Raw genomic sequence first — 25,514 nt, forward strand, 5'->3', positions numbered from 1 at the left:
GAACCCAGGAGGCAGAGCTTGCAGTGAGCCAAGATTGTGCCACTGCACTCCAGCCTGGACAACAGAGCGAGATTCCGTCTCAAAAAAAAAAAAAAATTCTGCTGAGATTCAGCAATCCCATTACTGGGTATACATGTAAAGGAATATAGATTTCAACAGGAAATCAGTATGTTAAAGAAATATTTGCATTCCTTTGTTCATTGCAGCACTGTTAACAATAGCCAAGATATGGTATCAACCTAAGCATCCATCAACAAGATGAATGGATCAAGAAACTGTGATATATATACACAGTGGAATACTACATAGCCATCAAAAGGAGATTTTATTATTTGTGAAAATGTGGATGAACTGGAGGACATTAGGTGAAATAAGCCAGATACGGAAAGATACATGATGCATGATGTCACTTATATGTGGAATGTAGTAAAGTCTAAGTCATAGAAACAGAGTAAAATGGTGGTTTCCAGAGGCTGGGGGGTGGGAAGATTGGGAGACTTTGGTCAAAGGACACAAAATTTCAGTTATTCAGGAGCAGTAAGTTCAAGACATGTATTACACATCATGGTGACTATAGTTAATAACAATGTATTGTACACATAAAAATTGCCAAGAGAGTGGATTTTAAGTGTTTTTACTATAAAGAAAATGAAATGATAATTATGTGAGATAATGTTAAATAGCTTGATTTAGCCATTCCACAATGTATACATATATCAAAACATCATGTCGTATATCAGAAATATATACAATTTTTGCTTGCCAATTGAAAGAATTAACTTAAAAGAATCTGCTGATGTTTTCATTGTGATTGTGTTGAATTTGCAGATCAATTTGGGAAGACATGACACCCTAACAATACTGCGTCCTCTGAGTCATGAGCTCAGGGTATCTATTCATTTATTTAGGGTACTGCGTCCTCTGAGTCATGAGCTCAGGGTATCTATTCATTTATTTAGGGTACTGCGTCCTCTGAGTCATGAGCTCAGGGTATCTATTCATTTATTTAGGGTACTGCGTCCTCTGAGTCATGAGCTCAGGGTATCTATTCATTTATTTAGGGTACTGTGTCCTCTGAATCATGAACTCAGTGTATCTATTCATTTATTTAGGGTACTACATCCTCTGAGTCATGAGCTCAGGGTATCTATTCATTTGTTTAGGGTACTGTGTCCTCTGAATCATGAACTCAGTGTATCTATTCATTTATTTAGGGTACTGTGTCCTCTGAGTCATGAGCTCAGGGTATCTATTCATTTATTTACGGTACTGCGTCCTCTGAGTCGTGAGCTCAGGGTATCTATTCATTTATTTACGGTACTGCGTCCTCTGAGTCATGAGCTCAGGGTATCTATTCATTTATTTAGGGCTGCTTCAATTTCTCTCAGCAATGTTTTGTAATTTTGAGTGTGCAGGTTTTTCACATATTTTGTCAGAATTATTTCTAAATATTTCATATTCTGATATTCAATTGTTGACTGCCAGTATACAGAAATACAATTGATTTTTGTGTGGTTCCCATGTATCTTGAAACCATGCCAAGTTCATTTGTTAATTCTGGTGCTCTGTTTGTAGCTGCCACTGGATTTCAACATAGACAATCAAGTCTTCTGTGAATAAAGACAGTGTTATTTCTTTCTTTCTTTATTTTTGAGATGGAGTCTCGCTCTGTCTTCCAGGCTGGCGTGCAGTGGCACAATCTTGGCTCACTGCAACTTCTGCCTCCCAGGTTCAAGTGATTCTCCTACCTCAGTCTCACGAGTAGTTGGGACTACAGGCATGTGCCAGCACGCCTGGCTAATTTTTGTATTTTTAGTAGAGATGGGGTTTCACCATGTTGGCCAGGCTGGTCTCGAACTCCTGACCTCGGGTGAACCACCCAACTCGGCCTCCCAAAGTGCTGGGGTTACAGGTGTGAGCCTCCATGCCCAACCTTATTTATGTTTTTCTATCTGAAAGCCCTTGTTTTTCTTGCCTTATTTCACAGTACAATGCTGAATGGAAGTGGTGAGAGTGGACATTCTTGTTCCTGAGCTTAAGCATGAAAAGCTTCAGTCTGTTGCCATTAAGTGTGATGTTAACTGTGGGTTTTTCACAAATACCATTTATTAGGCTGAGGATATTTTATTCTCTAAGAAAAATATAGAGGTTTATATTTTTGCTAAGAGGTTTATATTTTTATTTTTTACACAGTAATGAGTGTTGAATTTTGCCAGCTTTTCCTACATTTATTGAGATGATCATGTAATTTTTCTGTTTTTACTTTGTTAATCTGGTGTATTAAATAAACTATTTTAGAACAACTTTAGATTTATAGTAGTCACAGATTGTTACAGATTTACTCCTCTAGTTTGAGACTATTTCTCAGTCTTTCTTTGCTCTTATATGACCTTGACAAATTTGAGGGATAGTTAGGTATTTTGTAGAATATCCCTCCATTTGAATTTGTGTAATATTTTTCTCATGATTATATTGGGATTATGAATTTTGGGAAAGAGTCTCATAGAGACAAATTATCCTCATCACATCCTATCAGGAGTCTACAACATACATATGACAACAGTGATGACATTAACCTTGATCCGTTGGTCAGGGCAGTGTTTTCTGGGTTTCATCACTGTTCGCTTTCTATAAGTGCTTCTTTAGAAGTGAGCCACTCAGTCCAGCCCATTCTCTGTAGTGATGGTGGTTGGGGGTGTTGGCTCCACCCCCTGCAGATGGCAGGAGTTACACATAGTATTTTTAATTTTTCTGTATGAAAGATTTGTCTCTTATTATTCATCTATTCATTATATTAGTGTAGAGCCCTAATGTATATTTATTTTATACAGTGGACTATAAACCAATATGACATTATATAATTTGTTGCTCACATTTTTCCAGCTTTGCCCATTGGGAGCCCTTTCATATTGGCTCTTGAGTCCCTTTGACATGCCTTCATCATTTTTTAAATTAAAAAATTATTACTAATTTATTTTTATTTTATGGAGATAGGTTCTTTCTATGTTACAGCCCAGGCTGGTGTGGTCTTGAACTCCCGGCCTCAAGCAATCCTCCTACCTCAGCCTTCCAAAGTGCTGGGATTACAGGTGTGAGCCAGTGCACCTGTGGCTTCATTCCCGGCTTCATTTCATTTGTTGAGCACATCCTTCCTTTCTGATATAATAAGGTGCTACAGGCTCATTTTGCATTTCCCCTGCTTCAACCCTGGAATCCACCATTTCTCTAAAGTAATCTGGTTTTTTCACTGGAAAGTGTTTTTTTAGAAACTAAGATCTGGACACTGGGTGTGCTTGTCAATACTGAGATGTATTACTTCTAAGCCCTCAAAGCTGGATGAGACAGTTAGGTAATATATGTTGTATACTAACCCATGTACACACATGTATCTATTATTGTTTTTGTATCTATCCATTTTATATATATATAAAGCTAAATGAGAGTTCACAATAATACTTTCACCTCTTATCCAGTACCGCAAGATTTAGTTTATCCTTTTCTTGCTTCCAATACTTTTTTTTTTTTGAGACAGAATCTTGCACTGTGGCTCAGGCTAGAGTGCAGTGGCGTGTGATCTCAGCTCACTGCAACCTCCCCCTCGTGGGTTCAAGCGATTCTCCTGCTTCAGCCTCCCGAGTAGCTGGGACTATAGGCGCCCACGACCACGCCTGGCTAATTTTTTGTATTTTTAGTAGAGACGGGGTTTCACCATGTTGGCCAGGCTGGTCTCGAACTCCTGACCTCGGGATCCGCCCACCTTGACTTCCCAAAGTGCTGGGATTACAGGCGTGAGCCACCGTGCCCAGGCCCATTAAATTTTTTTTTTTTTTTTTTGAGACGGAGTCTCATTCTGTCGCCCGAGCTGGAGTGCAGTGGTGCGATCTCAGCTCACTGCAAGCTCCGCCTCCCGGGTTCATGCCATTCTCCTGTCTCAGCCTCCCGAGTAGCTGGGACTACAGGTGGCCGCCACCATGCCCGGCTAATTTTTTTTGTATTTTTTAGTAGAGATAGGGTTTCACTGTGTTAGCCAGGATGGTCTCGATCTCCTGACCTCGTGATCCGCCCGCCTCGGCCTCCCAAAGTGCTGGGATTACAGGCGTGAGCCACCGCGCCTGGCCCCATTAAATAATTTTTAAATGTTTAACTGACACTGCACTCCTGGGATAAACTCCACTTTAGTCATGTGTATTATCCTTTTAATATGCTGCTGGACTTCTCTTATTTATTTATGTATTTATTTTATTTAGAGGCAGGGTCTCATTCTGTCATCCCAGCTGGAGTGTAGTGGTGCAATCATAGGTCACTGCAGCCTTGAACTCTTGGGCTTAAGCGATCCTTTCATCTCAGCCTCCCTAGTAACTGGGACTACAGTCATGTGTCGCCACACCCAGCTAATTTTAATGTTTTTAGTAAAGACGGGGTTTTGCCATGTCGGCCATGCTGGTCTTGAATTCCTGGCCTCAAGTGATCTGCCCTCCTTGGCCTCCCGAAGTGCTGAGATTACAGGCGTGAGCCACTGCACCCACCCACAATTAATTTTAAAGTATTCTCGTTACTTGAAAATCTGTACCCTTAGCTTCCTGGCCCCCACCAAATTCCTTCCCAACTTCACCGGCAACCCCCCCACCCTAAACAACCACTAATCTGTTATTTTTGTCTGTAATCTTTCTGTTCAGTAATCTTTCTGTCTCTGTAGATTTGCCTGTTCTGGACATTTCATATTAATGAAATCGCACAACCTGCGGTGCTTTATACGTGGCGTCTTTCATTCAACATACTTTTTTTTCAGTTTCATCCATGTTGTAGCACATATTAGCACTTCATTTCTTTGTATTTTTGAGTAATATTTCATCGTGTGGATATACCACATTTTATGGATATTTGGATTATTTCCAGCTTTTTGGTTATTATGGATAGTGCTGCTATAACCACTCATATACAAGCTTTTCTGTGAGCACATGTTCTCATTTCTCTTGAGTGTATACCTAGGAGTAGATTTGCAGGATCATATGGTTAACTCGATGTTTCACCATTCCAGGACTGCCAAACTGTTTTCCAAAGTGCCTGCACTATTTTACTTCCTCCTCAGCAGTGTATAAGGGTTCCGATTTCTCCACAGCCTCATTAACACTTGCTATTATCTTTTTCATTACCAGTAAGTGGCATCTCATTCTGGTTTTGATTTGCATTTCTCTCATGACTAATGATGTTGAGCATCTTTTCATGTACTTATCGGCCATTTGTATATTTTCTTTGGAGAAATGTGCATTTGCTTCATGTATTTTTAAAAACCATTTTATCGATATACATATTTAAGGTATACCACTTGATGAGTTTGAAGTAAGTATATACCCATAAAAACGTCACCACAATGAATGCCATAAACATATTCATCACTTCAAAAAGTTTGCTCCCTCTCTCTTCATTTCTAATTCTTATGTTTTGTGATAAGGACACTTAACATAAGATCTATTTCCAGTAAATCTTTAAGTATGTAATACAGTGTTGTTAACTATAGTCACTATGCTGTACAGGAGGTCTCTAGGACTCATCCCTCTGGCATAGCTGAAGCTTTGCACCCAATGAGCAATGCCCTAGCCCTTGGCAACCACCATTCTACTCTCTGCTTCTCAGTTTGAATATTTTAGATTCCTTATGTACGTGAGATCATGTAGTATCTGTCCTACTGTGTCCGGCTTCTTTAACTTAGTATATTTGCTGCAAATGGAAGGATTTCCTTTTTATTTTATTTTATTTTAATTTTTTTTGAGACTGAGTCTCGCTCTGTCGCCCAGGCTGGAGTGCAGTGGCGTGATCTCGGCTCACTGCAAGCTCTGCCTTCTGGGTTCACGCCATTCTCCTGCCTCAGCCTCCCAAGTAGCTGGGACTACAGGTGCCCGCCACCATGCCTGGCTAATTTTTTTTTTTTTTTTGTATTTTTAGTAGAGATGGGGTTTCACCGTAGCCAGGATGGTCTCGATCTCCTGACCTTGTGATCCGCCGGCCTCGGCCTCCCAAAGTGCTGGGATTACAGGCGTGAGCCACTGCGCCAGGCCAGGATTTCCTTTTTTAAAAAGGCTGAATGATGTTCCATTGTACGTATATGCCACATTTTCTTTATGTATTCATCCGTGGTTGAAAAAAAAATTTTTTTTAAGCATCTCTTTCAATCTTTGCAGATTGGCTTTGTGCTGGGGCATTCCTTCAACACCTAACCAGGATATTAACAACTCTGTCTTAGCCTTCACTTCTTGATAACCCTGGACCTAGAGATCTTCCAAAGGAAAAAGCTTAGGGTCTTCTCAGATCTTTCCTGAATGCGTGACCTGCCCTGGGTATGTGCATGACATTTGAAATCCCCAATAAACACAAGTATTTTTTGAATGTCCTGATTTCCCAAAGAAACTCTCCCAGATTTTCCTCCCAGGCTTTATGTAATATATTGTATGTCTGAACCACAACTTTTTGTCCCAGGGAGCTGTGGGTTTTTTGGTCATCTCAGAATGTTTTTAAGCAATGCCTGCCACTTTTCTACCTTGAGTGGATTCAGACTTGGGCAAAACAGACAAATGCCTCATTTTAGTCTCTCAGATCGTTTCTGACCGGTTAGAATAGACAAACAAAGTCATTTGTGAATAAGGTCTGCCTTGCTCCCTCTGGAACCTGGGACCTGGGTCCTAAATTGGGAAAATGGACTACTATCTTCAAGATCACCATCAAGCTGATGAAGGGGTGGGGCAAGGGCAAGTGAAAATGCCACACCACTTTTCTGTCACTTTGAAGTTGCCCTTTCCTCATTTCAGGGCTTTCCTGATTGATATAAGTCTTTTACTGTTTTCCAGAGTTCTGGTAAAGTTTCTGCTGCTTTTTCTCCATGTTTCTGTAGAGGGACAGGAGTTTGGAGCTGTCTACTCTGCCATTTTCCTGATGTCACTCCACTTCTGAGTCTTTCCTATCTTTGTGGATAGCAGAGATGTCGATCTCGGATATGATACCCTTTAAGGATGGGGTCCTTCATGATGTGATATACAACTTAATATTCATTATATGGTTTTATGTCCCCAACATGTCTAGTAACCAAGGAGTGGACATAGGAGCGCCCCGCTCGCTAGCACTCTCAGTGACACACTTGGGGAATCTGTGTTTGTGTCTACAGCTTTAGGCTCTGTGAGCTGAAGTCTTGGACTCTGTGAGTGGCAGTGTGGGGAGTGGGGGAAGGCATTTCCACCAAGTGATACAGTAAGAGTTTCACTAAACACAAAGCTATGGCTGCTTCCTAGACAGTCCATGCGCTTGTAACTGGCAAGCAGAGTTAGCATTCTGGAAAGAGGTGATTACCTGTAATCGTCATTAGGAAGAAAGGATGTTGCCAGATAATAATAGGAAGGAGCAATGTATTTGGTACTCAGATGATTCATGCTGTCTCTTGGTACTTGCATGTTTAGATATAACTATGTAAGTGTTAACAACCACCGCCTCATAAAGGCATAGTAAGCAGGGGCTCAGACCCCATTAGGCAAGAGGAGCAGGATCAACCCACCAGGCAAACAACCTAGACCAGCAAAAGTGCTAGCCAGAGGATGAGAGGTGACAAGTATCAGTCTCTGCATGGGGTCCAACTACAATAGCAGGGGCTATGGTTTGTCCTTTCCCATTGACCCTTCTCTTGTACATTCCCCCAGGACTGGTGACCAGTTAGAAACATGGAGCAGCTCTACCTGGATGGAATGAACTTTAAGAAGCAGGTGGATCTGAGCAATGTACACATGGGTGGCTTGTGGATGTTGCTGGCACCCTGCCTAAACATTCATCCTCCAATTGCTTTGAGTTGGAAGCGCACAGTTACCCTTTTCCCCAGAGAACTGACCTTACTGAAACAGAAGGCCCCCTTCCACCTCACACCCTTGGCTGAAGGGCACAAAAGGCCCCTGGTCTTGAGGTAGGACTAACTCTGGAGGGCAATTTGCCCTCCAGAGCTTCCCTGGGACGGGGTGGGGTGGTGAAGCCGGCCTCCAGCTGAGACCACAACCTTGCTGAGCTTCTTGTCTCCTGCCCCCCTCACTCTTCTGAGAATGACCCTAATTAAGTCATTTGAACCACGGCCTTCTCAGGGTCAGCTTCTAAGGAACCTGATACAGAATAGTCCCATAAAACCAACACGATGGTGAACTTTATAGTCTGCAAATTCTATCTCAGTAAGGCTGTTGTATTTTTTTTTAAGTACTTAGTAGTTATTTACAGTAACTACATTTTTTTAAGTTCTACCTCATCAGGGTATACGTTCCTGGGAACCCCTGGTCAGGTCAAACATCTTACGTTGAACATCTAAGTATTGCTGATTTCAAGGGGAAATGTGCTTGTTCTTGAGCTCCCAAATTAATAGGTAATTGAATTCTTTTGAAAACACTAAATTCCACTGAAATGGCCTCCAATATAGTGAATTGAGAGTAAACATGGGCTACCCTGCAACAGGTCAAGGCAGCTACCCCTCATTGATAAGGGTGATGATTTGCAGATTCTTTTGTCTTTTTGCTCAGTACACACTTCAGAGCCACAAAGCACATACATTTACTCAATGTTTATGTAATTCAGCCTTTACTGTAAAAAAGGAAACAACAAAAACAAAACCCTATTAATAAACACAATGCAAACAATGCCCGAGATTATCATAAAAACATACTAGCAAGCCACAAGTACCAGAGAGGGGTGAACAGGCATATCTGCTAGCTCTCCTCTTGCAGTCCTCAGCCTCCCACAGGAGGCACAAGGTCCAAACTATTCCTCAAAAAAAAGGACAGCCTCTTTATGCTGAAATAGGAACTTTAAAGGAAGCTCTTCTTGTAGTCCAAATGGACGTACCTTGTGGTATGGCTGTAAGGACTCGATTTTACGGCTTGTGTATTCCTAACTATAGCTAGGCCTGTCACCTGCTGTTCCTGTGATCTCAGCTTTACCTAGAAGAGCTCCTGAAACAGAATGGGTACACGAAAATCTGGAATGAATAGCTATCTGCTCAAAAACGATTGTTTAAAAACAGATGATTGGGGCCGGGCGCGGTGGCTCATGCCTGTAATCCCAGCACTTTGGGAGGCCGAGGCGGGCGGATCACGAGGTGAGGAGATCGAGACCATCCTGGGCAACATGGTGAAACCCCGTCTCTACTAAAAATACAAAAATTAGCTGGGCGTGGTGATGCCAGCCACTCGGGAGGCTGAGGCAGGAGAATCGTTTGAACCAGGGAGTCAGAGGTTGCAGCGAGCCGAGACTGCGCCACTGCACTCCAGCCTGGCGACAGAGCGAGACTCCGTCTCAGAACGAACAAAGAAACAAACAAACCAGATGACTGGGAGACTGAAGAGGAAAAAAGATGGGAGAAAACGTAGGGAAAGGATGGGGCCTCACAGACTCAGCTGTGGGTGGGGGGGTAAATCATTACCTCAGGAGAAGCCCAAGGAATTGTCCCCGAGGTGAGCTTTGGAAAGAAAACAAAAACAAAAACAAAAACACCAAAAAACACCTAAATTTCCTGTATTAAAGTGACACATAATCATGTTTTCTGATTCTCTTCACTGTCTGCCTGCGGGGAGGGGGTGGGGAAGGTGTTAATGATGCTGATCCCTACTTCTGCTTCAAGGAGATCTGGTGGGGAATTCTTCCACCAGTCCAGAGTTTGCTGGTGCTGACCTCATCCCTGTATCACGGGCCTAGAATGTGGGAGGCTAATAGGATGGGTGGGTTGCAGGAGGTAGAAGAGGGGATGGCCTAGAGAGTTTCTCCATTCAGAGCTGGAGAGTTGTTGAAGGGAAGGGTATTTTAAAAGGGCTCCACCCACCCCTAGCCCCAGCCCCTCAGCTGTGGGGAGAGGCCGCCTCCTCTGATGGGGTCTCGATGCTGCTGCTCTGTTCCTGGTCTGGCACGTCCTCCTCTTCCTGCTCCAAGCTGAAGTTCTGTGAACAAGGTCGCAGGTGAGGCCTGGCCCTGCATTTGCTCAACCGCAGCTCTGATACATTTAGTGGGGCAAACTTAGGCAAGAGTCACTCTACTGGGTTGTAGTCCCTATCCCTGAAGAGGAGCCGTTTCTTCCATCCCACCCGAAATGTGGACCTGACCTACCTCGAGCTCCTGAAAAATCTCATCCATGAAGTCCTGGGAGTTCTGTTTGTAAGACACAGCTAATCGAATTGCATCATTGAAGAGCTGGGGGTGAGGTAGAGATGGTGGATGAGAGTGCCTTGGACTCTGCCCAGTCCACCCCACTGGCCCCACTGTGAGACTACACAATACTCCATTCCTAAAATCAGCAACCTTACCCCTCCATTTGCCTCTCCCCGTCACCCTGACCTATGTATGGTCAATGGACTTCTGCCTCATCAAGTCCAGGCCCATCAGCTCCTCCCCTCCCTGCCACCCATGCCCATGCACTGTCCCGGTTCTCTCCATCACACCTGCAGTAAGCCCTTCTCTTCACAGCTTCCCTTTACCACCTAGCGCCCTGACCTTGCTAGCTACCTCTGCAGTCAACCACACCTTCACAACATTGGTACCATCAGCAGCCGAGACGAAATACAGGGGCAGGGAGAACTTCTTGGCAAAATTGAAGCTTTTTTGGGTCACGTTTATGTCTGCTGTAGAGAGAAGGTAGGACATTGGTCTGTCTGTCAAGGGAAGGGAAGAAGGTTTGGAGGGGGGGGCCACTGGAGGCCTTCATTCCAGAAAGTGGGATAGGCAGGGATGATTGGGAAACAGGTCCTAGAAAGAGCTCAGTTAATAGGGATCTGTGTCTTGGAAAGAGGGCAGGTCGGCTTAGCTGGCTTCTTTATAAGGTGGGAAGAATGCAAGCAACCAACCAAGGGTTGTATCTTATCGTGGGAGGGAGGACCAATCACTGAAGGTTGCCTGCCCGGGGAATGGAGGAGGAAATGTATGAGGGCAGGTCCCCAGTGAATTGCTAACACCCAGGTGCAGGGATGGCCCCACCATCAATTTTATTGGCCACCACGATGCATGGGATCTCTGGCCTGAACTCCCGAAGCTCTGTATACCAGGTGCTCAGGTTCCTATAGGTGACTTTCCTCTGTACATCAAACACCTGCAAAGGGCAGAGGAAGAAAGATAGCTCAGGTATGTCAATGTTTCTGCACCCCATCTCCAGGTGACTCACACACCCAAGCAGGTAAGCACGAGCACATGGTGCTGTTTGTGGGAACGCTCTGAATTGCAGCCTCTCTGACCGCAGAGGCTGCCGTTTCTCAGGGAAGCCCCCTGGAGCCTCCAGATGCGAAAATGTTTTTAAAAATCTTATTCTTGGCCCAGTGCAGTGGCTCACACCTGTAATCCCAGCACTTTGGGAGGTTGAGGTGGGTCAATCACCTGAGGTCAGGAGTTTGAGACCAGCCTGGCCAACATGGTGAAATTCCGTCTCTACTAAAAATGCAAAAAATTAGCTGGGCCTGGTGGCGCATGCCTGTAATCTCAGCTACTTGGGAGGCTGAGGCAGGAGAATTGCTTGAACTAGGGAGACAGAGGTTGCAGCGAGCCCAGATCATGCCATTGCACTCCAGCCTGGGCAACAAGAGCAAAACTCTGTCTGAAATAAACAAATAAATAACGTATTCCTTTTTTGTTATCTTGTCATCTAATCTTATTCACCTATTTTAACAATCATAAATGGAATCAATTTGCCAATTGATGCAGTCTGTTAGAAATTGTAAAAACTTTTGTGTTTTTTAGTCCTCTTGTATTTATTGCTTAAACTGTTTTAAAGTTCCTCTGTAGTAACCGTAAATGTTTCTAGAGTTTTACTTTAGTTACTATTTACTTTTATTTATTTATTTACTTTTTAGAGACAGGGTTTCACTGTCACCCAGGCTAGAATGCAGTGGCTCAATCACAGCTCACTGTAACCTCAAAACTCCTGGGCTCAAGGAATCCTCCTACCTCAGCCTCCCAAGTAGCACGCACGCATTAATTTTTATTTTTTTATTTTTTTTTTTTTGTAGAGGCAGGCTCTCCCTATGTTACCCAGGCTCATCTCAAACTCTTGGCCTCAAGGGATCCTCCCACCTGGGCCTCTAAAGGTGCTGGGGTTACAAGTGTTAGCCATCACAACTGCCCCTGATTTTTTTTTTTTTTTTAGACGGAGTCTCACTCTGTTACCCAGGCTGGAGTGTGGTGGCATAATCTCAGCTCACTGCAACCTTTGCCTTCTGTGTTCAAGTGATTCTCTTGTCTCGGCCTCCTCAGTAGCTGGGACTACAGGTGTGCGCCACCATGCCTGGCTAATTTTTTTATTTTTAGTAGAGACAGGGTTTTGCCATGTTGGCCAGGCTGGTCTCGAACTCTTGATCTCAAGGGATCTCCATATATGGAGTCTTGCTCTGTTGCCCAGGCTGGAGTGCAGTGGCGCTATCTTGGCTCACTGCCACTGCAACCTCCACTTCCTAGGTTCAAGTGATTCTCTTGTCTCAGCCTCCGGAGTAGCTGGGATTACAGGTGCGCACCACCATGCCTGGCTAATTTTTGTAGTTTTAGTAGAGACAGGGTTTCATCATGTTGGCCAGGCTGGTCTCAAACTCTTGACCTGCAGTGATCTGCCTGCCTAGGCCTCCCAAAGTACTGGGATTACAGGCATGAGCTACTGCACCTGGCTGATTTACTTTTAAGCTTCTGTTTACTTCTTTGTTCTTTCTGCTTTTTGTTTTTTGAGATAGGGTCTTACTCTGTCAGCCAGGCTGGAGTGCAGTGGCAGAATCTTGGCTTACTGCTCCTCCACCCCCTGGGCTCCGGTGATCCTACCTCAGCCTCCTGAGTAGCTGGAACTACAGGCACATGCCACCATGCCTGGCTAATTTTGTTTATTTTTTGTAGAGATAAGCTCTCATTATATTAACGAGGCTGGTCTTGGACTCCCGGTCTCAAGTGATCCTCCTGCCTCGGCCTCCCAAATTTCTGGGATTACAGGCATAAGCCACTGTGCCCGGCCTCTTTAAATTTTTTTAAAGTAATTTTTATGTTTTATTATTTGCAGTTCATAATTGTATTACTTTATAATTTGTTTTTACCTATTTTATTTTTATTTATTTATGTATTTATTTTGAGATGGAGTCTTGCTCTGTTGCCCAGGCTAGAGTGCAGTGGCGGTATCTTGGCTCACTGCCACTGCAACCTCCACCTCCTGGGTTCAAACGATTCTCCTGTCTTCAAATGATTCTCCTGTCTCAGCCTCCTGAGTAGCTGGATTACAGGTGCGCACCACCACGCCTGGCTAATTTTTGTATTTCTAGTAGAGACGGGGTTTCAACATGTTGGTCAGGCTGGTCTCGAACTCCTGACCTCAGGTGATCTGCCCGCCTAGGCCTCCCAAAGTACTGGGATTAAAGGCATGAGTCACCGCGCCCAGCCTGTTTCTACCTATTTTAAAATATCAGCAAGAAGGATGAGCACTGCAAACCAGCTCTTAAGGGCAGAACTCTGAAAGACAACTGAGCTGCTGCTACAGTGAGCCTTCATGCCCTTCACAGGAGCTCCTCCAAAGTGTCTAGCCCAAACTGCCCTAGTACAACAGTCAGTGGATTAAAGTTACAGACAACCACCACCCTGTAACCGCTGGCACAGCTGACCTCACTTCTAAATCACCCAGCTATTTGTGCAAGCAACACGGTTCAAGCTCAGGGCTAGGGGCTCGCCCTGTGTGGTGGCGGGAGGGTCAGCAACTGTCACATCTCAAGAGGTGGCAGGAAGTCTATGTAGATTCTCTTTCACAGGCAAATTTCAATGAATCACCAGGTTGTCTTGAATTCCCGATGAAGACTCCTTATAAAGGATGTCTGTAACTAAACTTCTGGAATCTGCCTCACACCAGGCTCAGATGCCTTTTGTCCAGGTCTGGTTTCCTGAGCATCTGTTCCTTGTTTTGAGAGCTGAGGAGGAGCTGGCTAGAATGAGGAGCATCCCCATCTCAAGGTTTCAAGGTGGAGGGTCGAGCCCTGGTTCCGTCTCTGACCCTCAGCTCCCCGTGTGGTCAGAAGGCAAGTGCTTTCTACTCGCCAGGGCCCGTGCAGCAGACTGGGGCTGGTGGCAGGCACCTGCAGACACAGGCATGGTGGCAGGAGAGACACCCCAGGCCTTCAGAAGAGGGTCTGAGGGGAGCCCACGGAGATGCAGCAGATGCAGGAAGCAGTCACTCCAAGAGAAAAAGAGAGGTGAGCTCAAAATACCAAATGCCACTGTAGGCCTGAAACCAAACTGGCTAGGACCAAGCTCCTCTGCTCTTGAGGGTCAGACTTCTGCACTACACTGCCCCCATTTTCCTTGCCCCATCATCCTCTTGTTTAGTGCCTTAACAGTTATCAGAGTTAAAGCTTTTGGAATTTTTCAAGGGATTTTGTTCTCAAGGGGCAGTCGGGGGAATTAGGTGATGAGTTCCTTCCTTTACCATCTGCAAAGGGTCAGAAGGGAAGAATCCTCACTGTCCTCACCACTGGTATCTGTACTGTGCCTACCAGTCAGTCAGTTCCTGGGGGCAGCACGTGTGTCTTTCCACCTGGGCACTCCCAGCATCCTGCACACGTGCATCACAGACAGTCCATGTTGTGGAAGGGATCAGTGGTGCAGGAGCACACACGAAAGAGCTAAGCTAATGACAAACATCAGAGGAGGCTGCACGGAGGTGGTGGCATTGAAGCAGGGCCTGAAAAATGAGCAGAGTTTCAAATAAAGGGGTGTGAGCTGGGGAGAGGCTGAGGGAAGAGCATGAAGGAAGGTGTGCAGAGGAGCAGGTGACAATGAGCAGAACAGAGCAGCTCCTTCTGCATCCCCTCTGCTATTGCTTCTTACAGATGAGATGACACCTGCTCAGCCATGCATCTCTCTCAGTGCCAAGGTAAGGCCGTGCGTATTTACAGACAATCACTAAGTGGGAGGTAGGGCTAGAAAGGTGGGTGTCTAAATGCTATGGGGTGCCATGGCAGACTTTATTTTTTTTTTGAGACGGAGTCTCGCTCTGTCGCCGAGGCTGGAGTGCAGTGGCGTGATCTCGGCTCACTGCAAGCTCTGCCTCCCGGGTTCACGCCATTCTCCTGCCTCAGCCTCCCCAGTAGCTAGGACTACAGGCGCCCGCTACCACGCCCGGCTAATTTTTTTGTATTTTTAGTAGAGACGGGGTTTCACCGTGTTAGCCAGGATGGTCTCGATCTCCTAACCTCGTGATCCGCCCGCCTCGGCCTCCCAAAGTGCTGGGATTACAGGCGTGAGCCACCGCGCCCGGCCCGTGGCAGACTTTATTAATGTATGCCAACAATGGTGGCAACCTGTCCATCCCATGTGTTCTTTTAACCATATGATTCTGGTTCCCCACTGAGAGATGCCATCTGTTTCTTCCCTCTGTGACTATGGACAGAGAGATGCCACATATTCCAGGGCTAGGCCATAAAAGGAAATATAAGTCCCACCGGGTTCTCTTTGGATACTTGATCTTGGGATCTTGGCTGATACTCTGTGAGCAAACCCAAATCAGCCCAAATGACAAACTGCGAAGAAACACGGGGAGTAGAACCTGCTGGTGGTCCAGCCAAGTACCAGTGTGTGTGTGTGGGGAGATGCCCCAGGCAGTTCCAGCCTGGAACCCAGCCTTGGAGTCTTCTTAGCTGAGACTTCAGACATGGATTCCCGATCCATCAGAAAATGGTTGTTTTGTACCGCCAAGTTTTGGGGTTTTGTGTTAAAGCAAGACCTTGAATGCTATTCCAAGAAGTTTTAGTGACCAAGGTTTTCACTTGGTGACAATTGCTAGGGTTAATAATTCAGAAGACTAGTCTATTACTTTCTGCATTGTTGATGGCTGATATTCATGAAAATGTGGGTTTTTTTTAGATGGAGTTTTGCTCTTGTTGCCCAGGCTGGAGTGCAATGGTGTGATCTCGGCTCACTGCAACCTCTGCCTCCTGGGTTCAAATGATTCTCCTGCCTCAACCTCCCAAGTAGCTGGGATTACAGGCACCCGCCACCATGCCCGGCTAATTTTTTGTATTTTTAGTAGAGACGGGATTTCACCATGTTGGCCAGGCTGGTCTCAAACTGCTGACCTCAGGTGATCCACCCATCTTGGCCTCCCAAAGTGCTGGGATTACAGGCATGAGCCACCGTGCCCAGCCATGAAAATGTTTTTTAAGTGACCCAAAAGAAAAACATGCTCCTTTTCAGCATTTAAAAGTGGTGGCCTGAGAACCCAGCCAGGGAATTCACGGGTAGGAACTTCTACAGGACACAGGTATACAGAGCTCCTTTTTCCTTTCTCAGCCCTTTCCTCGGCTGCATTTTTCTCTTGGAGCGACTGCTTCACCACACCCGGGTCACCAGGGGGAGCCGTGAGGACTGCGTCCTGGGCAACACAATGGGAGGCTCGGGGGGAGGCGAGGGGCTGGCCTGAGAGAGAAGGTTCTCTGGGACCCGCAGCATCTACTCAGTCCCAGCGTGCGCCCCCTAGGGAAAGGCAGCAGGCAACAGTGGAGGGAGGCCTTGGGAGCTTGTCTGACAGGTTAGGTCCATCAGAGGGACGGTGGCCCTGTTTCAGGCATGTTTGCCTCTTGGATGCTACACCTGATGTTGAAGCCCTGAGCTTGCTGTTCCACCTTTTCTCCACCCATCCCCGCCTACAGAGAGCTCACCTGGCACCTTCTCACTAAGAAGCTCTGGGGAGCAGGTGTGGTTTGAAACATCCCCGGGTGACCCTAAGCCCCCCTCCCACAACACCCAGACTTGGTTACAAGGGCCCAGGGCTGCTAGGCCCCTCACCCCTCAGGCCAGACTTGCCCAGTGCCTTTGTCCACCTCCCCACCGTCTCGTACCATGATGCAGGCGTGGGCCTTGTGGTAGTAGGAGGCATGCATGCTCTGGAACCGCTCCTGGCCTGCCGTGTCCCAAAAGTCTGCAATGTGAACACAGACAGACCTACATGCCTGGTGCACTTCTGTGCAAGTCACTAAGATACAACACACATGCGGCACAAACCACAGCACATGTGTGAGTGTACATGGGGAGCACAGGGAGAAACAGAGACTATACAGCCCCACACGTGTGTCTTCAAGACACAGTGTACCTGAGTGTGATGTGAGAGGTGTGTCTTCACCTGTGTGTATGGGAAGACAGTGGGTCAGGGGCCAGGAGGAAGGACAACACACTGGAAGCCCAAGGAGGGAGAAGACAGTTCCCCGTTTCCCACGTGACACGCAGGGTCCTCTAAGTTCCAAACTATTCCAACTTCTCACGTGCGCTGACCACAGACGGTAGACAGAGTCAGGCAGGCTGTGTGCCCGGCCAAGGAGAAGATTATGACCCGATGGAAGGTCGCAGCCCGATGTGGGAGATAATGTTCTGACCACATTTATTTTTTCAAACTGGCTGAGTAACAACCCCTGAAGCTAGGAAAACTACTGCCTCGTCGAAGGCCTCTTACGTTCTTCTTCCCTGAGGTGGGTACAGCCCCCTGACTTCTCCTTTCCTGAACCCTGTCCTGCACAGGTGCTGGCCTGGACGCCAGGTCAGAGGGCTGGGACTTGGCCCCTGCATGCCCCCTTCCACCCTCCTGGCTCCTGGCTCTCTGGGTTCTCTCTAGCACCCCTTGTCCCTGCCTGGGGTCTCATTTTCTCCCTCTGGACTCTCTCCTTATGAACCTTCCCTCACCTCCCCTCGTCTCCCATTTCCTCTTTCCTGAGGGTCAGCATGTCTTGGCCCTGTGCCACTTACCCACAAGGATGGTCCTTCCATCTACCGTGGCTGTGTGCTTGTACAGGGTCAGGGCGTACGTGGACAGCTGCTGTGGCTGACTGCACTCAGGTTAAGGAGCAAAATCAATAAAAGGGGAGGTAAGGAAGGAGTGGGGAGCAGGGGTGTTTGGTTTGATGAAATGGATCCTCTCCCTCCTCTTCTCTTTGGAGTTATTGAGATTTTAAATCAAATGAATGTTGCAGACAGAGGATCAGCTTCACATATCACTGGTACAAACTCCATGGAAGGGTGAGGGGTGGGAGGAGATGGGAGTGTGTCCTGGCCATCGAAGTCTGAGGTAAAACACAGAACAGGATTTTACAGACAAGTGTCATAAAAGGCATCATGCAGTTGGAAAATGCAAATGTGGATACCCCAACTCAATCATGGATGGAGCTTTCGCAGGCTAGAAAGGAAACCCTAACCCTAGGTAGCAACATGACCATTCCAGGGACAAAAGCTCCCACAAGCCATACAGCTGACAAGCTGTCAATCAATTTGGAGTCTGTCTATGTGTGAAACCCTGAGAAAAAGGGTTAAACTCTGGGGATTAACAGCTTCCGAGGCTGCAAGAAGCCGGACAGTGTAAAAAGCAGAGCCAAATGACGCAGGTGGGCTGGGTGTGCAGGAGCACTTGGTACAAGGTGGAGTAACACATACTCAGATCTTAAGGCAACTGAGCCTTGGGGTGCCGAGCCTAGGACAGGCAGCAGCAGGCTCCAGGGGCTCCTCTCACCTGTGGTTCTCAGTGGATCCACTTGGGAAGCTGTTTAAAAATCTCCCAGTTGCGGGGAGGAACTCACTCCAAACCTATGTAATATAACAATTCATGGGAGAAAGGTGGGGCTGGCAGCTCCTATTTTACAAAGTTCATTCATATCAGAGATTTTTTTCAATAGTAGGGGGCCCAAGCTTTGAGGTTAGAGAGGTTAAATGACTTGGCCAGTATCAGAAGCTACTGAGGAGGAGGAGGTGGGGTTTGAATCCAGGCATTAGATCCAAACCATTTGCTGTTTGCCATTCTACTGCCCTCTTAATATAAAACAATCCAAATATGAGTAAGGTCCAAAATATACAGCACTGATTGTGCAATGCCATGTGGGTCAATCGGCAAGAAACAAGTGCGGAACAAAACCTGTGCGTTCACTTACCCAATCCTCCTTCCTGGGCTGCTGGTACAAAGGTGTGGGCAGTGGGACACTGATACATGAGCGTGGGAAGACCCACAGGAACAAGGGGTACTTCAAACCTTGAAGGATACAAGCCATCCATGAGAAATCTCTCCATGAGTCTGTAAGCAGAACAGGCAAGGTGGTCAGATGGCGTCTCCATCTCTCCCTCGTCCCAGACTTTTTCACCCTAAGGCTGACAACCTGGAAGCCACCTGTGGCTTCCCTTCCCCCTTTCACTCCACAGCCACACAGCTTCCGGGTCAAGTCTGGAAGTTGGGTATCAGCATTACCAACCCGTCATAACAAAACAGCTCATGTCACTATGAGTACACACACCAGCCCACGTGAAGCTCTCAAATCTGTTATTTCCACCAGAGCACAGTTCTGCCCATGCAATTACCCTTGTGTTATGCAAAGGGAAACAGAGGCCAGGCCAAAGCTGCGCCTTCCGTTCAAAAGCCATTTCCCGGTCGGGCGCGGTGGCTCACGCCTGTAATCCCAGCACTTTGGGAGGCCGAGAGCAGCCTGGCCAACAGGGTGAAGCCCTTGTCTCCACTAAAGATACAAAAAATTAGCCAGGTGTGGCGACACACGCCTGTGATCCCAGCTACTCAGGAGGCTGAGACAGGAGAATCTGCTTGATCTATTGGTTATTGAGAGGACCATCTATTCTGAATGTGGTCAGTTATCCCGTGAAAAAATTAGGCAGACTTGGTCACTCCTCTCTGCAAAACCATCCAGTGGTTCCCCATTTCTTTCAGTTCAAACTCTCCCATTTCTTTTCTCTCCCTCTGTTCTAGCCACTGGCCATTTCCTCCTTTTGTTGTTGAAATGCTCCTGCCAAATATCTGCAAGGCTTACTCCTTGCTTTTTTCAAGTCTTTGACCCAATGTTACCTTTACAACTAGGCCTTCCCTGACCACTCTCTTGACATTGCAACCTTTTTTCCCTCACGTTTTGAAGGGTCACTGCTTGCCTGTCAGTGTAATACACTCTAACCATGATTTTATACTTCTGATATTTAAACTGCAGCTTGAATTGTAAAAGGAGGATAGATTTTATTTATAACTATAAAGAAACAGCACCCTTACTATAAAGAAAACACATCATCTTCTTAGATCACGTAGAAAATTACACAAAGAAATTACCGCGGCCAGAGGTTAAGATGGTCAATGAAAAAGACTCAAGCTCAGAACACTGTCTTGAGAGGGCACATGCTCAGAAAGTGCAGGAGGAAGAGGAGAGATCCATAAACTTGCCTCATCCAAGCAGAAGCAGTGGAAGAATAAAAACACAGGCACAGAGGGATTTTCTTAAGGAAAAGTTGCCTCTGGAAGACAGGATGAAGGAGGGAAAAAGAGGCCCCAGAGACTCATTCCCTCCCAACATTCTGCAGCTTAGCAGAGAACCAGCTCGGCAGGCCTGAGCTCAAAAACAGAGCAGGCCTACCTCCGGAGGCTCTAGGAAGCTGCCTCTGTCACTGTCACATACGCAGATGTTCCCTGTCTTCTTTTCCCAAAAATATTTAGAGTAGGCACTGGTCACTGGTGGCCTAAGCACAACTCCCTCAGGATAATGAGAGCTTGGGACCCAGGGAGTCACATGGTGTGACTTTTCTGCTTGTAAGTTTCCCCCATCACCCTAGTCTGTACTCACACCATGTGGCCTTAGTTTTGGGTGGGGGGGGTGTGCCTTTGCCCTCTTTGCACAACGATGATAGGCAATCATTAACGGGAATGGAAGACCCTAAAGGCCAAGTTAGACAGCTATCAAAGAAAAAAGACAACACATCTGGACCTAACTACTCTTAAAGATGGAATCAGAAAGCCACGTCTTGTTGGCCGGGTGCGGTGGCTCACACCTGTAATCCCAGCACTTTGGGAGGCCAAGGCAGACAGATCACTTGAGGTTAGGAATTCCAGACCAACCTGGCCAACATGGCAAAACCTCTGCTAAAAATACAAAAAAATTAGCTAGGCATGGTGGCGCATGCCTGTAATCCCAGCTACTCAGGAGGCTGAGGCATGAGAATTGCTTGAACCTGGGAGGCGGAGGTTGCAGTGAGCCGAGATTGCCCCACTGTACTGCAGCCTGGGTGACAGAGCAAGACTCTGTCTCCAAAAAACAAAAAACCATGTCTTGTTATTAAGCAGTATGATCACCTGGGGTCAAAAGAAATCTGGTCGGGTGCAGTGGCTCATGCCTGTAATGGCAGCTCAGGAAGGTGGCATGTGCAGGAGCAAAGGAAAAGCCTTCCACAGGAGGCAGTGCCCAGGTCTGAGGTCACCTGTTCACAGGGGGTAGGGGAGCTGTCATCAGAGCCCTCCAACAGAGCCCTGAGTGGAATCAAGAAGCATGAACATGCTGCATGAGAAAAAAAAAAAAAGGCACCTTAAAGAAAGCCTGGTGACTGGGGCTGCTACTGTTGTAAATTTCTGAACTCTGCAAGAAGGCCGCACTGCCACAACATTGCTCTCTAGAAATGAGGCCGTGTACAACTGACGCCCTTCAGATATGATGAACACAAGTGTTAACTTTTTTTTTTTTTTTTTTTTTTGAGACAGGGTCTTGCTCTGTCACTAGGCTAGAGTGCAGTGGCGCAATCATAGCTCACCACAGCCTGGATGTGTTAACCTCTTAATGGGTGTTTTAGCCCAACTGAGTTTAGATTCATAGGTTAGAGACACTGAAAATTGGCAGTAATTCTTGAGTCCAGTCAAAACTGAACCACAGTGTTCTCATGCACTCACCTTCCCTCAGATGCACTGTTTCCACCATGGTCTTTGTATCTGGGACAACCTTTTGCCTGAGATACTGCTAGTGGATGAAGACTGCCTTGTTTTCTAATTGTTGTGTCTGTGGAGGCCAATGTTATGGTAATCTTTGACGTCAAGTTAACTACTTGGATTCTTATTTTTTGTTACTGTTTGAAATGAGGCATATAAAGAGACTAGCATTGAACTTGGGAGCTGGGTATACCAAGATACATTCTCCGAAAGTTCTGTTTGTTATTAAAGTGGCAATTTGCTTTACACCTGCCTGCCATTTCTATTCTTTGTTGTTTTTAAACTTGAGTGGGGATAAAGGGGGTGTTATTTATTGGGTAACCTTCCCAAACTACAACACCTACCCTCACTTTTACTGTACAGGCGTGCTGTTGAGGATGGTCAAAGTAACTATAAAATACTAAACCAGAGGCCGGGCGCGGTGGCTCATGCCTATAATCCCAGCACTTTCGGAGGCTGAGGTGGGCGGATCACAAGGTCCGGAGATCAAGACCATCCTGGCTAATAAGGTGAAGCCCCGTCTCTACTAAAAATACAAAAATAAAATTAGCTGGGTGTGGTGGCAGGCGCCTGTAGTCCTAGCTACTCGCAAGGCTGTGGCAGGAGAATGGCGTGAACCCGGGAGGCGGAGCTTGCAGTGAGCCGAGATCACGTCACTGCACTCCAGCCTGGGGGACAGAGCGAGACTCCGTCTCAAAAAAAAAAAAAAAAAAACTAAACCAGAGCTGCAGTATGTGATTGTGTGGTGGGGAAGAGAGAGAGAGAGAGAGAGAGACAGAGAATTCAAATTCATGGAGATGGCCTAAAAACCAGCAAAGCCCCCAGAGAATTATTCACAGCTACCTGAGTCAAAGGACTTGATTATAAAAATGAAGGTAGAAACCAAGGTGGGCCTGGAGTACTTGGGAGATAAACGTGACCACTTCTCTGGGCAGGGGCAAGTGTACCGTCATGCTATGAAGGCAGAAATGGACATGTGCCCTCAGCAGTCCTAGGCGTGAGAACTAGGACGTCTCATGGAGACAAGCTGGCAGCACGGCAGAGCCTCCCTTCACCTCTCCGGGTGGCACGTAGGCACCGAAATTCATTACAAGAAGAAGCCAGTCTTCACAATGATTATAGTCAATCGTCAGTTCTACCCAGTTTTCTCTATTTCAGAGAGTCCCTCCAAGAAAGCATCTTTACCACCTTTACCCAATCTGTCACGGTGGCATAGTCACTTTTGTCTTTCCATTCCCACTCCCCGCCCTTGCCATCCCTCAGCCCACAAACCACATACAATGTCCTCAGTTGCTCCACACGTTCTCTCAGGGCTCAGAGGAAACATTCAAATTCCTCAGTCCTTATGACCTGCCCCCTCCACCTGACACACACAACGGCTCACGTGATTCCCCTCGTTCCCCCATGAACATCTGGGCTCCAGCCAAGACTGCTCCTTCACCAGCCCCAAGAAGCCATGCTCCTCTGCCTCTGGAGGACTTTTTAAATGACCTGGACCCTCTCTGGGGCTGGTATTTATTCCCTAATCTCCCAACATACTTGGATTTGCCCACTGCGCTGTCTCCCAGGCAGATGATCTTCACGTTGTCATCAGCATCATACTTCCCTTGGTCCAACTCACTCGGTTTGGTTTTGTCTTCTGCCATTGGCTCCTAGCTGTAGAGAGGGGTCCAGCCCAAGGGAGGGGAGGGTATTGTCACTGTCTGGGAAGATCAACAAGAGGCTGTTGTCAGAGATAAGTCCCCTCAACCAAATCTCCAGCTGTACCTCCCTCCAGACTGCTTCCCTCAGTGCCAGACTGAGATATGGTATGCAATTGACTACTAGACTTGGAGTAGCAGAGTATGACACACAGGCATCAATAATATGTTATACACAAATAGTTAAGTCCTGCGCACCCCAAATGCTGCTCCTCACGTTACCCATTTGCACAAGACATTCACCAGGCATCCAGTGCCAAAGGCTGTGTGCAACATTATGTCTAGCTCTGTTTTACTCTCCTCACACCTAAATATGACTTTGCAAACATTCCTGAGAATGTAACCACAGTCCAGACTCTTAGCTAGGGGGGCACATAGAAATGATATGATGATGAGACAGCAGCAATAGGTGAGCCTTACTGGGCATTCACCATGAGCAGACCTTGCACAGGGTTCAGAGGATGGAAGACACAATGATAGCAGAGTCTACTGTGGTGAGAGCTACGACAGAAGTATGCACACGGGTCAGGGGTAGAAAATACCAACAGGGCCCCCGAGTTTTCCTGACTGTGCCACCACACAGCTACTGCTTCTGCACAGCCAGGGACTTCGCCTTGTTTATCCAGGGAGACAATTCCTGGGAAGTGGCAGATGCCTGGAAAGCATGATGAGGGGTCTGCCCCCTTTCACCTGTACCCTGTAGAGAGAGCGACAGAAAGCCAAATCCAGCTTCATGGCTCCATGCTTGAAGACGTTCTTTCTTTTGTTTAGAGATAGGGTCTCACTCTGTCGCCCAGGCTGGAGTGCGGTGGCGCGATCACGGCTCACTGCAGCCTCCAACTCCTGGACTCAAGCGATCCTCCCTCCTCGGCATCCCTGGACTATAGGCGTGAGCCACCGCTTACGGGCGAAGACTTGCTTGTCCGTGTCCTTGCCATCTAAGTGGGTAAGCTATCTTTCGATAAATGTTTTTGGCCACCAACCATGTCCAGGCATCGCCAGGCTGCCCGTCCCGCCCCCCACAACAGCCTCGCGAAGCCACCTTTCCGTGCTTCCCCCGACCCGGACGCCCTCTCGCCCACACCGCTAGGGAGGCCTCGGAGGGGCTGTCCCCGCGTGCTAAGCCAGCCACCGGGGCGGATTTGCCCTCACGTGCGGTTCCGAGTGAGGGCTGGAGAGACCAGGGACGCTGCGGGTCGGCCCCTCGGGCCCTGCCGCCAGTCTGGACTCTGCGCGCTCTCGAACCACGCCCGCCGGCCCAGCTCGCGCCGCAGCGCACTCCACTTCCGGCTCGGCCCGCGTCCTCGCAGCTGCTACGCAACCGCACAAGGACCCCGAGGGAGGCTGCCCGGCCGAAGGCCTGAAGGACCCCGCCGGGGCGCTGGCTGCCCAGCGCGGCGCCTGGCGGGAGGGCCGCAGGGAGTGCGCATGCGGCCGAGTGCGGGACTGGGGCTCCTGGCTGTGGGTGTGGTACCGAGGCTTCAGCGGGTGCCGCCCGCCTAGAGGGAGTGGAGCGGTGAGCACGTCAGGGGTGGGGGGCGCAGGTCAAGCTTTCACCAGTTTTTAATTCTTTGATGGGGTAAATTTGAGCAATTTTCTCGACTTGTCGACATTCGTTATTAACTGAGCAGGAATCAGGAGAGGAACCCGGTCCTCTCCACACAGCCCAGCAGGTACGCCGCCCATGTGCCTGTGGAGAAGAGAGGTTCCTGTGGGGCAGACAGGTGTGGACCAAGTAGCTGCGAAATTTCTTCTGAAGAAAACACACAAGGGGGAAGCGAGTGAGCTCAGTGGAGGAGGGGCGCTACCCCAGGGGACGTCCCCATGCATGGGCTTGTGAACCTCGAATATGTGAGACGGTCTCAGTCAATTTAGAAAGTTTATTTTGCCAAGGTTGAGGACGCACGCCCGTGACACAGCCTCAGGAGGTCTTGACATGTGCCAAAGGTGGCCGGGACACAGCTTGCTTTTATACATGTTAGGGAGACAGGAGACATCAATATATGTAAGATGAACGTTGGTTCCCTCGGGAAAGGCGGGACAACTCGAAGCAGGGAGGGGGCTTCCAGGTCACAGGTAGGTGAGAGACAAAC

At 47.4% G+C, this 25,514-nt stretch overlaps 1 protein-coding gene and 1 pseudogene across 52 annotated transcripts in view, besides 1 other annotated feature; one reads left to right on the plus strand and one right to left on the minus strand.

The window, feature by feature from the left end:
• Window positions 1-25,514, plus strand: part of RPL23AP82 (ribosomal protein L23a pseudogene 82) — a 42,552-nt pseudogene that overhangs the window by 1,842 nt on the left and 15,196 nt on the right. Inside the window, exon 2 of one of the 2 annotated variants that reach the window (NR_026981.1) lies at window positions 24,193-24,367. The product of NR_026981.1 is annotated as a ribosomal protein L23a pseudogene 82, transcript variant 1 (transcript). Of the gene's footprint in view, window positions 1-24,192; window positions 24,368-24,801; window positions 25,146-25,514 lie in introns of those variants that run through there. The other variant, NR_026982.1, reaches the window with a different exon arrangement.
• RABL2B (RAB, member of RAS oncogene family like 2B) lies at window positions 8,579-24,709 on the minus strand. 50 transcript variants are annotated; one of them, NM_001350006.2, is made up of 10 exons: window positions 24,574-24,709; window positions 23,964-24,118; window positions 23,261-23,424; window positions 19,025-19,054; window positions 17,743-17,822; window positions 16,845-16,924; window positions 10,978-11,089; window positions 10,528-10,622; window positions 10,114-10,197; window positions 8,579-9,947 (listed from the first exon to the last, which is right to left on the minus strand). In NM_001350006.2, the coding sequence occupies exons 3-10, from the start codon at window positions 23,365-23,367 to the stop codon at window positions 9,849-9,851; spliced, it is 687 nt and encodes a 228-aa protein (NP_001336935.1). In that variant the 5' UTR covers window positions 23,368-23,424; window positions 23,964-24,118; window positions 24,574-24,709; the 3' UTR covers window positions 8,579-9,848. The 50 variants fall into 50 exon arrangements, with proteins under 50 accessions (NP_001336935.1, NP_001124395.1, NP_001124392.1 ...); NM_001130923.3 differs by having other exon boundaries at window positions 10,498-10,622; NM_001130920.3 differs by having other exon boundaries at window positions 10,528-10,625.
• Window positions 24,641-24,880: a silencer, noted in NCBI's record as "silent region_14005". NCBI's record gives its function as "represses an Ori minimal core promoter by ATAC-STARR-seq in GM12878 lymphoblastoid cells {active_cell/tissue: GM12878}" and the evidence as "EXISTENCE:reporter gene assay evidence [ECO:0000049][PMID:35858748]".

Source organism: Homo sapiens, chromosome 22 (genome assembly GCF_000001405.40).
Source record: "Homo sapiens chromosome 22, GRCh38.p14 Primary Assembly".
Lineage (NCBI taxonomy): Eukaryota > Metazoa > Chordata > Mammalia > Primates > Hominidae > Homo > Homo sapiens.

What these genes read in the sequence shown, in the direction of transcription:
- RABL2B (NM_001350010.2), bottom strand. Translation starts at nt 23,367, where the DNA reads ATGGCAGAAGACAAAACCAAACCGAGTGAGTTGGACCAAGGGAAGTAT. An exon ending in AGGCCCACGCCTGCATCATG is followed by an intron (nt 11,090 to 16,844) that starts GTACGAGACGGT and finishes TGCCCTTTGCAG; the next exon opens with GTGTTTGATGTACAGAGGAA. An exon ending in CTGCAGAGGTAGCTAGCAAG is followed by an intron (nt 10,198 to 10,497) that starts GTCAGGGCGCTA and finishes CCTCACCCCCAG; the next exon opens with CTCTTCAATGATGCAATTCG.